We start from the raw sequence: 14839 nt of genomic DNA on the forward strand, positions 1-14839 counted from the left end.
GGTGGCTCACCCCTATAATCCCAGCACTTTGGGAGGCCAAGGCAGGCAGATCACTGGAGGTCAGGAGTTCAACACCAGCCTGGCCAACATGGTGAAAGCCAGTCTCTACTAAAAACAAAAATTAGCTGGGCATGGTGGCGTGCACCTGTAATCCTACCTTCTTGGGAAGCTGAGGCAGGAGAATCACTTGAACCCGGGAAGCAGAGGTTGCAGAGAGCAGAGATCACACCACTGCACTCCAGCTTAGGTGGCAGAGTGAGACTCTAAATAAATAAATAAATCTGCTATTTAAAACCCCATCACCTAGTCAGTATTTGTAAAATATCACACGTGAACTGTGCAAGGCGGTCCACACAAGTGGATCTTACGGCAACAGCATCAGGAAGGCCTGGAGGCAGTGTCACACTCACTCACTGAGTCTCCAATACTACTGCTTGGCCAGTAATGAAAAATAAAAATGTTTACATTAGGTTAATTTCATGTGGATAAAGGATGCTCTGAGGCAGTCTAAAAAACTAGCATCCTGACATCATGAAGAGTAACCCATCTAGCAGAGGACGTAAAGATGGCAAGTCAATATTTAAAGGCAAGCGGTAAACTCAGAAATTATCTTCCCCAAAATGGCCATATGCAAAGTTATAGGAACAAAATATCATGTTGACAGTGCTGTATCTTATTCACAGTTAAATAAAATTCTTATCACTGGTTTTGTGACACTTTAAGGATGACCCATTTTAGGGTGATAGCTATCAGTTTATTAAACAGAAGCTATGCATTTGTTTAATTTGAAGCATATACCACTTCCAAATATGACACTGAGCATTAATATTTTTAGACTTCCCCCAGGTAAATTAAAAGCATGATCATTTTGTTGATAATCAGCCTTTGGAGAATTAAACAGCCTGCTTACTGCCAGTGCTAGTTCAGTAAATATGTTTCTCATTTTCTATTTGGCAAAATTAGATAACCTAAGCCTAGGAAAAATAAAAAATTAGAAAAAAAAAAGTAGATTTGGGGATATTTAACTCAAATTGCCCTTACTGGTGGAAACTCGAGGCAGTTACTTAGATTATTTCCAAATGGCTTTTTTTAAATGTATTTCTATATTGTATACAACAGTCTCAGTCTTCATCTCTCCTGTTCAGCTATCCATACATCCCTTAAAATTAGATATTTTTAATGTTTAGTAAACCTTCAGTTTGGGTTTATAGACAACATTTAACCTTCTCATGAAAGGGTCAGAATACTCCAGTTGCAGGCACAAACAGGCCATAGTTTAGTTGAAGGAGAAACTGCGAACTCAAAGGAGCACTGCTTCTCTGCAGGAAAGATCCCGTCAGTGGACCTGCGGGGCACAGCTGCCACCAGTGTCATGTAGCTATTCAGTGTCGGAAAACTAGAAATCACAAGTGAAGAGAAATTGTAAATTACCTCAAATTCTATGCCCAGAAGCAACCACTATGGAAATCCTTCTAGACATTGTCCCGTATAAATATATTTCCCTAAAAAAAATTATACCCCATACTCTGCCACTTCAAAAAAATCAAGACTGTTTTTCCATGTCAATAAATATCTATATCATTTAATGAATACATAATACTCCCTTGTTTGAATGTACAATATTCTGTATTGTTGCACATTTGTTGTTTCCAATTTAACAATTACAGTACTCCAATGAAGCAATCATCTTAAAATACATGTATAACGTATTATAATGTTCCATCCTTTAAGGTTAGAAACGACGTCCCATACCTGTCTCCCGTCACTCTGAGAACAGTGCGGTAACAGGATCAGCGATTCTCAACCATGGGCAATTTAGCCCCCTATGGCACATTTGACAACGTCTGGAGACATTTTTGGTTGTCACAACTAGGGGGTAGGGGATGCTACTGGCATCTAGTGGTGGAGGATAGGAAGCTGCTAAACATCACGCAACGCATGGGACCGTCCTCCATGACAAAGGACCCGTGCAAAATGTCAATAGTGCCACTGTTGAGAAACCCGGATTAAGATCATGTTGTAACTACATTTCAGTGGGATAAGACTTTGAAAGTTTCCACCGGGCACAGTGGCTCATGCCTGTAATCCCAACACTTTGGGTGCCCGAGGCAGGTGGATCACTTAGGTCAGGAGTTCGAGACCAGCCTGGCTAACATGGTGAAACCTCATCTCTTACTAAAAATACAAAAACTAGTTGAGCATGGTGGTGCGCACCTGTAATCCCAGCTACTCGGGAGGCTGAGGCACGAGAATGGCTTGAACCGGTGAGGTGGAGGTTGCATTGAGTCAAGATTGCACCACTGCACTCCATCCTGGGTGACAGATCTAGACTCTGTCTCAAAAAAAAACGAAAAAGAAAGTTTCTTGCACATAACGCCTTGGTGGCTTCCTTCGGACAGCTTTCTTCCAAATGGGACTTGGCTTCTGTCATGTGGCTTTGTTAGCTGTACAGATGGGGACAAAGCATGTAGAGTATCCTGCTGCAGTTTCTATGGCTGAGCTAGCAAGAGTGGCACACATACCTCCAGCCATTTCCACTGGCCAGAACCTGGTCTCCTGACACCTCCGTAAGCTGTAAAGGAGACTGCTGGGTGATGTGGTCTTCTTACACGTCCAAGAAAAGAAAATGGCATTGATGGTATCTTGCCAATTTTTGCCATTTTTGGTTTTCAAAAAAATTCTTATATGAATTAAGATTAGTGTAATATAAAACAAAATTCTCAAAGATAATTTCAAAAAAAATACCCGTTAGCTACTCAATAGATATTTGTTGAATTTGAGGTTACTGGCTTTATACATAGAGGATTAAGCGTATTCTTTTTCCCGCCTGGCCAAATGGTAAAACCCCATCTCTACTGAAAATACAAAAAAATTAGCCAGGCATGGTGGTGCACGCCTGGAATCCCAGCTACCCAGGAGACTGAGCCACAAGGATCGCTTGAACCTGGGAGGCAGAGGTTGCAGTGAGCTGAGATCATGCCAGTCTGGGCCACAAAGTGAGAGTCTATCTCAAAAACAAACAACAAAGAAACAGCATTATTTTTAAAAAGCAAACACAAGGTAGTTCTCTGAGGCATGTGAGGGATGTGTTAGATGCCTTCCATTTGTCCCACTCCCCATGTCAGATCTGTACTCCATCCTGCTCCACCTTTTTCTCCGCCCCTGGGTGCTGACCTGAGCAGATTATATAAGTAGAATCCCTTGCACATTGGCTTCTAGTTGAATTTGGTCAATGGGGAGTCCCAGCAGAAAGCTGGGCAGTGAGGGGAGGGAGGAGAGAGGTATGACGGTGTTTATTTCCCAGGTTCCTCATCAGGTTGCCTTGAGCTGGCAGAGGAGCCCATTCTATACAACTCTCTCCTTCCAGGTCCTGGGAATCTTTCCTTCCTCTCATCCCTTGGACCTAGGGTGGTGAGGGCTCACCTGCTTCTCCCCACAGGTCCCTTCACTCTCCATGCATCCTGCCTACACCTTTGTAAGTAGTTCCTTGATAAACCTTCTTAGATGATTGTAATTTGAGTGTGCTGCCCCCAGTGGTGACCCTGTTGTGATGGACAGGAAACTCTTACAGGGACAATGAGAAATTCTTAAAATATTGTGTCTGCTCTCAAAAAACTAACAAATACTTGGATGCACGAGCCTAACACTAGTGGGATTCTGTAGAAATGCAGCAGAGATTTAGAAAAGAGGTTCCCATGTGCCAGAATAGCTGGGGGAAACCTCTTGGATGGAGCGGGCTGAGGGGAATAGTTCTTGAAGGGAGAGGAGAAACCACTGAAAAGAGGCCAGAATACTGATATTGCCAAATAAAAGGGTGCACATTTTGGATATTAAATAACTGATGATTTAAGATAGAAATGGGGAGTAATAAGAAATAATAGACTGTGTCTAGCGTATGAAGATCTTGAGACCTCATCAGAGGAAGTTGTTGCATTTGAGACTTAGCATAATTCTGTGGCTGTGAAAACAGAAAAGAAAATTGCTTACCAGCTATTTAAAGTTAAGTACTTTGTGACAAGCTGGCTGTGGGATTGACTGTTTACTCATGTTGTGGGTAAACAAGAAGACATATTGAATCTTAACTCAGATTTTAACCGCTGGTACCTGTGAGTGTGACCTTATTTGGAAGTAGGGTCTTTGCCCCCATCATTAAGATGAGGTCCTACTGGATGAGGATGGGACCTAAATCCTGTCACTGGTGTTCATATAAGAAGAAGAAAATTTGAACACAGACACCCAGGAGAGTGCCAAGTGATGACCGCGACAAGGGTTGGGGTGACGTGTCTAGAAGCTGAGGAACACCAAGGTTGCGGCAGACACCAGAAGCTGGAAGAGGCCAGGACCGCCTCTCCCCTAACGCCTTCAGAGAAAGCACAGCCTGGCCACCACCTTCATCTTCGATTTCTGGCCTCCAGAACTGAGAGAATGAATGTCTATTGTTTAAGCTGCCAGTATGTGGCACTTTGTTACAGTAGCCCTAGCAAGCTAACATTCAGTATGTCTGAAGGGTAGTCAAGAGGAAGCTAGAAATTAAGATGTCGGCCCATGTTTGGAGTGGATTTAAGCCAAACAGCGTACTATGTGTGCCCTGCTAAAAATTATAATAACGAGAAATTGTTACAGCCTAAGAGTGACCCCAGGATTTGTAACTGACGTTGAGTGCCCAAGAACTGCGTGATAAGTCTATTAAGATAAAATTATTTCAAGTCCTCACTTTCGTTTCTTTACGTTTTCTCTCTTTTCCTATTAGCATATACACATCCAGTGGTCATTTGAAGCCCGGGTGCGTCAAGTGGTAAAAGCTTTCCCTGCTAGCTTATGCTGTGGGAACTAACTCCCAAAGTTCAGTGGCTTCAACAAAGCTCGCTTCTCACTCATGTGTTGGGCAGGCGTGGCTCTGCTGCTCTTTTTTCTGGAAACTCTGCAGAAGGCATAGGCAGTTCTAGTGACCAAGGGGAAAGAAGAATGGCAGAACCGCGTAATAGCTATAAAAATTCTCTCTGGAATTCACACACATTCCATTTGAAAGTCAGTCTCATTGCCAAACCTGATGTCAATGTGGAAGTGAATCTGTTCCTGCCACAGGAAGTTACTCCAGGTCATGGCAGAGTGGGCAGGGGTATGTCATCCTCTTCCTGGGAATACAGCAGGTAACTGAGGACAGCAGTATGTTCTACCCATGTTCCCTCTCAGTCACAAATGTGAATGTGTGTCCCTTCTGCACTCCACATCTGTGTCTTTTGAGAAGAAATTGCAAAAATTCCACTCAATTATAGCATCAGGCCCAAAGTGCAGGCACTCATGGGGGCCTCTACAGCAACTCTAGATGTGTCTTCTCTCAGTCTAGTCACAGATGGATGCCCGTCTTCCCCGACGTGCGGTGGAGCTGGGAAAGATCACTCCATTGAGAACAGGGAGAATGAATGCAGCCTGACCCAGTCACTGGTCCAGAGCGCTACGGACATCCCCGTGGGTGGATGTGGGAAGGGTTCCCCACCTCAACTGCCACTACCAGTTAAACTTCAATAAATTACGTTGCAGCTACACAAAACTTCTGAATCTCATGAGTCTGTGCTCACAGGCACAAGGGTGAGGTTCGAGGAGTTAGCTTGTGAAGCTACTTGATCACTGCGGGGTGAGAACCCATGGGTAAAAGCTTTCCTTTCTTTGCCCCATTTTTTGAGACATTTCACCAGGCTCCTCAGAAAAGGCCCCATTGATCTTGCACTGAGTCCCATTGGGTGGCCAGTTTGGTCACACATCCCACCCTCCCTGTTTCACCCCCTGCACCTGCACCCCTGCTCCCTGGGGTCACTTTCCCAGTTAAACAATTTGCACACAAGCCCTTGCTCAGGCCCTGCTCTGAGAGGGGCAATTCAGAGAACCCAAGCCAGAGCCAAAGCAAGTCACAAGGTGAAGCCCGCAGTGAACAGGGCAGGAACTGTAATCCTACAGGAAAGCAACCCATGGTGGGGAACAACACGCAACAAGCGACTGCAGTGGAAAAGTGGTGTTGTGGCTCTTGTTTCTTTGGTTGGGTTTTGGTTGTGGCTAAAGGCACAGTTCACAGTCCTCCGAGAGCATCTTAAGAGTTAGGATAATGCCATGGTTTCTAGTACATCACAGTGGACTTTCATTATTCAGAACTGTGTCATCTGCCCAGCAAGTAATTCCCTATAGTTTTCCAGAAAGCATTAATATGTTTACCAATTGCTGGTTCTTTAAAGTTAATGATTCTTCACACTGTGTTATCTACATTTGTCTGGGGCAGCTAAATTACTCCCAGTAACTTTGCACACACAACTGAGCACTAGCTTAACTGACATCATTAGGTGGCATCTAGAAGCTGTACTTGTTCAGATTCTGTGAACCAGCAGGGAGACAGCCCAGCATGGGACTCGTACCTGCATCTTCTCAGAAAGAGGCGTGTATACACAGAGGAACGGCTTCTTTTACAAAACAGTTGATTTAGACCTAACCTTTGTAGGTCTAGCATAGAGATGGACAAGTCCTAGGACTAAAACGAAAATACTAATCTAGGAAATAACAAAATTTTCTAAGTCAGGAGTGGCCAGCCTGTAGGGTGATTGAAGACTTCTATTGTTTCATTTATCGCCTTTGAAGCATGTGAAAATAAAACTGTTGTCACAAATTGTATTGGTCATTTGATTAAAAACACCCAGCAGCATTAACATGCCAATTGAACACACTTGTTTACACTAATTAAAAAATGAATGAATTAAGGATTCAAGTTTTGGAGAAGAAATTGTGCCCCATCTGCTTCTACTGGTGCTTTCCAACACCTTAATTAGATGGGCTACACTTAATTCCTGTGGGAGTTCCTAGGTCCCAGGTGTAGGAAATACACACTGAAGTAAGAGAGTCCTGAAATTTGGGAGATTCCCTGCAAATTGGGGCTACTCACCTTCCTGTAAGCAAGACCAAGTGTCTATCGAAGGTATTCTCTGCTGGCAAATGATTTATGGCGCTGGCTTTTGGGAATCCGTATTCGCTCACCGACTCCCACCCCGCAGAGTGCACCACGTGCTTGTCAGTTGCATGGAGCCTGAGAACAATGTAAAAAAATACTCCTGGCAGGATACCTGCTTAGATATTTTCAAGCTTAGAAAAATCATTTTTTCACACCTGTAATCCTAGCACTTTGGGAGGCCAAGGCAGGTGGATAGTTTGAGGTCAGGAGTTCGAGACCAGCCTGGCCAACGTGGTGAAAACCTGTCTCTACTAAAAATACAAAAATTAGCCAGTTGTGGTGGTGAGTGCCTGTAATCCCAGCTACTTGGGAGGCTGAGGCACGATAATCACTTAAACCCAAGAGGTGGAGGTTGCAGTGAACCGAGAGCATACTACTGCACTTCTAGCCTAGGCAACAGAGTGACTCTGTCTTAATAAGAAAAAAAAAGAAAGAAAGAAAAGAAAAATTATTTTTAATGGCACCAAGCAACCCAACCTTTTTCTTTATTTGGTTGTTGTTCTGAGACATTTCCCAGAGGTTAGGAATTTATATCCAAAAATAATGTTGACAGGCATGACAGTTTGGGGTTGAAGAGAGAATTGGGCTTGTTTGCAAAATCTCTTTAATTTATCTCAGACATTTCACCAGCTAATTAATGAAGATCCCAAGCCAAGATCTAGTTCTGTATCATAACACCCTGAAAAGATTTTAACAGCTTCTCTAACTCTAACTGCCTCGTCTGTTGCTCCTGTTTAACACTGTGTCCGTCTCCAAGATGACGGGAGTCAATCTCACTTCTTTCAGAGACTACACTAAGGTTGAGAAAGGTGAGGCCCAAGGAATTCAAGTGAGTTTCTCATTGTCACAGTTACTGGCAGAGTCTGGGTTACGCTCTCCTTTTTAGACTTATTCTAATTCATTCTTTAAAAACATTGAAAGGAAAGAGTTTTAATTTCATATACAATAGAAATAGAAAAGAGGAAAACTCTCTAAAAGTAATATTTATACTACGGAAAAATCTAACTTTATTTTGGTTGAAAAGAGTATACAGATTTATATTTTTTGTAGCTAATACATATTTCTCTTTTGGAAGTGGTTGAAGTGGAAGAGACAATTTTATGTTTAATGTCTCGCGTCAGTTTTAATTTTCTGATTTAATTAGTTTCCTAATTAGAAGGGGTTAAATTAATTAACCTCATTATTTACTATATATTTAATGATTTCTCATCTATGGGGAGTTACTTAATTTTCAATAATTGGAAAGCTTATGACAAGAGGGGATATTGCCAAGTCTTACACTTATTGTTTTATGATCAGTGGCAGGAATAAGACAGATTAAGGGGAATTTTAGGTGAGATATCAGATACTTGCAAAGGTATTTCTTACTTGTTTTGAACCATGATGCATGTAAAAACTTGAGTTGAGACTCCATAATTTCTGTCCAATTTGAACTCAATGGATATGTCCTTTGTTTAAGGATAAAATACATCCTAGAACATAGACTTCTATAAGAAATAGCCCTGTCACATGATCTCAGTTATAGACAATAAAATAATCATGATGCATCAAATAATACTAAATAATTATAATGAAAAGGAGAGCTTCTGAAACTATCATCTGGTATAAATGGCATAATAAAATATTTAGTTTTTCCTCAGACTTGCCGGTGGACTAAATGGATGACATTTTGGGAAGAAATAACAGATTGATAAGCCTAGCAGCTATATGGCTTGAGGAAATCAATAAGCCATGTTATTTCATGTTTATAAATACAAACAATTTGTGGATAACTATGTTTTCATGTAGTGATGTGTTTTCCGAGAGCAAAAATGAGGCTGCATCTACAAAATGGCTGAATTTGCCTTCTCTTCCCACTTTAGAAGGGCCTCTGCACGGAGATTTGAGCAGCCAGAACTCTGCAGGCAGACACGGACAGAGAGAGGACACTGTTGCCCATTTCTCCCTGTCTCTGCATTGCTCCTTATCCACAGCACCACTACCTGGGAGAGACCCTGATCCATCAAGAGGTTATGTGAGTAAAGCTTGGGTACTGGTATGGTTTAAAACACAAGCCCAACGCATGTAGTCCAGTGAAGTGGTCTGATGATAGGAAATCCACTGTAGTTGAACAAACCTGTACTGAGCACGTAGGTGCATTGCATATAGGCTTTGTGTTGCAGTCAAGGCCCGTCCATGGAGTGACTGAGTTCCAGCCTGTAAGCAGCATATCAAATGCCAACGTGAGTTGCATAGAGTAATGGAATACAAAGTGTGAGATGCGACGGAGACAGGGATGTTTTGGGAGGTTGTCTTAGAGGAGGGGTCTTGAGAGACCTTCGAAGATCAACAGGAAGAGAAGGATGCCTGTTCCCTGTGGAAGAGAAGCCTGAGCAGAGGCCTGGGCTTGGGAATGAGCATGGTGGGCTGGCAGGACTAGCAGTCAGCTCCTGCCTGGAGGAAGATGTTGCGGGATGGAGCGCGGGAGACATGTACAAAGAAGCAGATTGGAGACCTTCGGGGAAAAGCTTTATATGAAGAAATGACTGTCCATATTTCTCATAAATTAGAATCCTACTATTTTCAATTCCTATCAAAAAAATTTACAGGCTGAAGTTGAGACAGTAAAAACTGGTATTCCATTTGATTCCATTTGGAAAATATCTGCCCTTATTCTGTTTATTTTATTTTATTTTTATTTTATTTTTTGTTTTATTGAGACAAGGTCTCACCCTGTCACTCAGGGTGGAGTGCAGTGCTGCAATCTTGGCTCACTGCAACCTCCGCCTCCCGGGTTCAAGCAATTCTCCTGCCTCAGTCTCCCACGTAGCTGAGAGTACAGACACGTGCCACCACGCCTGGCTAATTTTTGTATTTTTAGTAGAGACGGGGTCTCATCATGTTGGCCAGGCTGGTCTCAAACTCCTGACCTCAAGCGATCTGCCGGCCTCGGCCTCCCAAAGTGCTGGGATTACAGGCGTGAGCCACCGTGCCTGGCCTGCCCCTATTCAGTGTATAATAGCAGGCAAAATAGTGCTGCTAGTTCCACAATATCCAAAAAAGTACTAGCTAGACAATGCTGACTCAATGCTCTGGTTCCAAAATGTCCCATAGTTTCCCACCACTTGTAGACTGAAGTTCAGTCACCTTAGCCTGCCTTTCAGAGAACTCTCTAAGCTGTTGCTTTCCACCATACACCCCACCTTTGTACACCGTAGCCCGAGCACACTAGGCCCATGTCCTCCCACTCTTAGCAGACTAGACTACAGCACTTGACTCTCCAAACACATCCAGAACTTTCCCACCGCAGCCATGGCTGTGTTCCATCACCAGCAACCCTCTGCACTCATGCACCTGCACAAATCGCACCTGCTCTTCCTATGGCCAACCTTAGATGTCCCATTTTATGAAACATCTCTGATGCCTTGAGAAAGAATTTCTTTGGTCTCTTCTACTGTGATTTACATAAATATAAATGAATTATATAACTGGCGGCTCTTTGGCTTGGATCAAGGATGACTAACTCAACCACATGTGAGAGAGTTCATCTCACCCAACATAATGTCTGGTGTGGTGCTGCTGTGAACCATTTTCAGGGTAAGGAGTACAAACAAGGCTGGAGGGAGCCTCAAATGTGAGAGCTTGCCTTCATCCCAATACTTATATTTAAAGTATCAAAAAGACTGTATTCTAAAATACTTTGCCATTGCATCACCACCACCACCCCACTCCCAACCCCTCCAAGACTAAAACAAGTTTTTGTTTTTAAGACAGGGTCTTGCTCTGTTGCCCAGGCTGAAAGTGCAGTGGCGCCATCACAGCTCACTGCAGCCTCGACTTCACAGCACCCAAGGGACCTTCCCACCTCAGTCTCCCAAGTAGATGGGACCACAGGTACACACCACTGGCTACTTTTTACATTTTGTGTAGAAATGGGGTCTCAGACCAGCTACGGTGGCTCATGCCTGTAATCCCAGCACTCTGGGAGGCTGAAGCTGGTGGATCACTTGAGGTCAGGAGTTTGAGACCAGCTTGGCCAACATAGTGAAACCCCGTCTCTACTAAAAATACAAAAATTAGTCAGGCACAGTGGCAGGCGCCTGTAATCCCAGCTACTCCAGGAGGCTGAGGCAGGAGAATCGCTTGAACCCGGGAGGTGAAGGTTGCAGTGGGCCGTGGTGGTGCCACTGCACTCCAGTCTGGGTGACAGAGCAAGACTCTGTCTCAAAACAAAACAAAACAAAACAAACAAAAAAACAAAAAAACTAAAAGGGAAATGGGGTCCACTGGTTGCCCAAGTTGGTCTCGAACTCCTGAGCTCAAGCCATTCTCCTGCCTTGGCCTCCCAAAGTGCTAGGATATCAGGCGTAAGCCACTGCACCTGGCCTAAAACAAGTTTTATTTTCCCTTAACACATATTCTCTTCCATATTTAGTATGAGGCCTGATGTCAAATGGATGATGAGTAAATATTTAAGGAGTGGATGGATGCATTTTGAATGAATTAACATCACTGCCAGGGATTTTTCACCTTTTAGGGCCTCTTTAAAGATAATCATCAGAATACAAATTTAAAACTTATTCTAATAAGGTTTCCTTGTTCTATTTCATTATACTTTACAGCTGGGGAAACACGTTTGGGAAGGTTAGATCAGGGGTCAGCAAACATTTTTCTGTAAAGGCCCAGATAGAAAATATTTTAGGCATTGTGGTTTATACAATCTCTCTTGTGACTTCTCAACTCTGCTATTGCAGTGTGAAAGCAGCCACAGACACTCTGTGTAAAAATGAGCAAGACTGCGTTCCAATAAAACTTTATGTACAAAACCAGGTAGCAGGCCAGAGTTAGCCTTTGGGCCTTGGTTTGCTGACCCTGTGTTAGGTTTTCCAAGGTCACACACTAGCAAGTGGAAGAAACAAAGAAAGACTAAAACCCAACAGGTGTTCACTAACTAATGAGCCTCTTGACCCCCGTACAGCACTCTCCCTGCTTCACTGTGATAACTCTGCGGTCTCAGGAGGTCTGTCTGAATGCTTGACCATCAGGCAAACAAGGGAATTAGGGCTAATTAATTAGTCAAGACTTTGAAATCCACTGAGAAATGGGGCCTCATATTAAGTGCAAACTATCATCCTAAGTAATATATTTGTGACACTTTCATTAAATTTTCTCTCAAATCTTGAAAAATAAGTATCTCCTAGCTGCCAAGATTTTCATCTTAGCGTAATTATGAAGCCTCCCCAAATAATCATTTTCCAGTTGGCGATACTCAGTGGGGCACAATGCCAGCTGTGGAGACTGGATGACGCTGTTTAATTTGAGACTTATTAGCACAGCACAGGTGAAAATGAAGAAAGTCTTAGTGAAATGTGCTCGTCGCATGTTCAATATAAAAGCTTATTGTTTAGTGGAGCTCATGGAATAAAAGAAGAGCAGCAATCTAAAAGCAGGTAATTCAATGTCTATCAAGATAAATATAGGAATTTTAGGGACATTTTCCACAGGTATTAATAGAAACCATTTTTATTAGGAAAAAGGCAGATATTTCAACGTTATAATCATTTTGGGGGGAGGGGCGGTTCTTTTTTTTTTTTTTTTTTTTTTTTGGAGACCGAGTATCACTCTGTTGCCCAGGCTGGAGTGCAATGGCGTGATCTCGGCTCACTGCAACCTCCACCTCCCAGGTTCAAGCGATTCTCGTGCCTCAACATCCCGAGTAGCTGGGACTACAGGTGCCCACCACCTTGCCCAGCTAATTTTTTGTGTTTTTAGTAGAGATGGGGTTTCACCATGTTGTCCAGGCTGGTCTTGAACTCCTGACCTTAGGTGATCCACCCGCCTTGGCCTCCCAAAGTGCTGGGATTACAGGTGTGAGCCACTGTGCTGGGCTGGTTTTGTTTTTTTGTGACAGAATCTCACTCTGTCACCCAGGCTAGAGTTCAGTGGCATGATCATGGCTCACTGCAGCCTCAAACTCCCAGGCTCAGGTGATTCTCCCACCTCAGCCTCCCAAGTAGCTGGGACTACAGGTGCTTGCCACCATGCCCAGCTAGTTTTTTTTTTTTTTTTGAGATGGGGTTTCACCATGTTGCCCAGCTGGTCTGAAACTCTGGGGCTCAAGCAATCCATCCACCTTGGCCTCCCAAAGTACTGGGATTACAGGCGTGAGCCACCATGCCCAGCCTGTTTTAACCATTTTAATGAACAACATATACACCAAAGAGAAAATGGTCACAAAATGAGGTGTGTGGCTCCTTAAATGAATTAAAATACATTTTTAAAGTCTTTTTACATGAATAAATATTTGAGCTTTAAGCTTAGAGCAAATTTAGAAACTGCAAATCTAAAAGGGCGTCTGTGAGTCACTTCTTGTTATGAACTTTCTATTCCCAGTTAATTCTCAAGACAAATTTTCAAAGATGTTATAAACCCAACCATATAGAATTTCTAACACTGTGCTACATTTCATTAATAGGGTTCACAAGTAATTCTCTCCTTGGTGGTAAATTGGTTCATTTTTTTTTTCATTTAAAAACATACTACTCCTTAGAAAGACAAAGACCATAGTAAGAATATTATCAGTCGGCTGGGTGCGGTGGCTCACGCCTGTAATCCCAGCACTTTGGGAGGCCGAGGCCGGCAGATCACTTGAGGTCAGGAGTTCGAGACCAGCCTGGCCAACATGATGAAACCCCGTCTCTACTAAAAATACAAAAATTAGGCGGGCGTGGTGGCAGGCGCCTGTAATCCCAGCTACTCCAGAGGCTGAGGCAGGAGAATTGCTTGAACCCAGGAGATGGAGGTTGCAGTGAGCTGAGATAACGCCATTTTACTCCAGCCTGGGCGACAGAGTTAAGACTCCATCTCAAAAAAAAAAAAAAAAAAAAAAAAAGGAATATTATTGGTCAAGAATATGGAGGGGAAAGGATGAATCAAAAAGAAGCTCACAGGAAAGAAGCATGCAGGCTGGGTGTGGTGGCTCACGCCTATAATCCCAGCACTTTGGGAGGCCGAGGCAGGTGGATCACTTGAGGTTGGGAGTTCAAGACCAGCCTGGCCAAAATGGAGAAACTCTGTCTCTACTAAAAATACAAAATTAGCCAGGCATGCCTGTAATCCCAGCTACAGGGATGCTGAGGTAGGAGAATCGCTTGAACCCAGGAGGCAGAGGTTGCAGTGAGCCGAGATCATGCCATTGCACTCCAGCCCGGGCAACAAGAGTGAAACTCTTTCTCAAAAAATAAATAAATAAATAAACAAATAAATAATAAAAAAAGAAGCGTGCATTGATTGGGCAGCCTTGACTTTCTGCTATTTCCACTGGCATATAAGACGCCCTCATTGGATGCCTGCTGAGAACACTGGTGTATCGTCTTGCTCCTGTTACTCACACGCTCACATAGAGGACAGCGTCTGCACCATACCTATGGAGGGAAAGGAAAATAAGACTATGAAAAGCAGAGACAAAAAACAGTTACGTTTACAACGCTTTGTCCAGGCAACATTCCAGTGATTCAGTGATTTAATAGAGTCCCGAATAATTTTGATACCTTTCTAAGCGAGATAATTTACTTAGTCCATTTACCTATATGAGGAAGCTATGTGAACTTTAAAAGAAGTATTTTAAAAATCAGGGGAATAGGCAGATAGTGTTGGATTCAGCTGTAAGTTCCATTCCTGCAAAGATGTTCAGCGTATTGGGTATGTGTTGAAGGAGAGGAAAAATATCTCTCCTTCTCCCTTTCTAAGTTTTCAGCTGGGCTCCTGTAGCGAAAGACAGATTGACAACAGAAAAGTATACAAATTTTAAAAGTCTTACATGACACAGGGGCCTTCATAAGAAAATGAAGACCCAAAGAAATGGTGAAA

Source organism: Homo sapiens, chromosome 7, assembly GCF_000001405.40.
Source record: "Homo sapiens chromosome 7, GRCh38.p14 Primary Assembly".
Taxonomy (NCBI): Eukaryota; Metazoa; Chordata; class Mammalia; order Primates; family Hominidae; genus Homo; species Homo sapiens.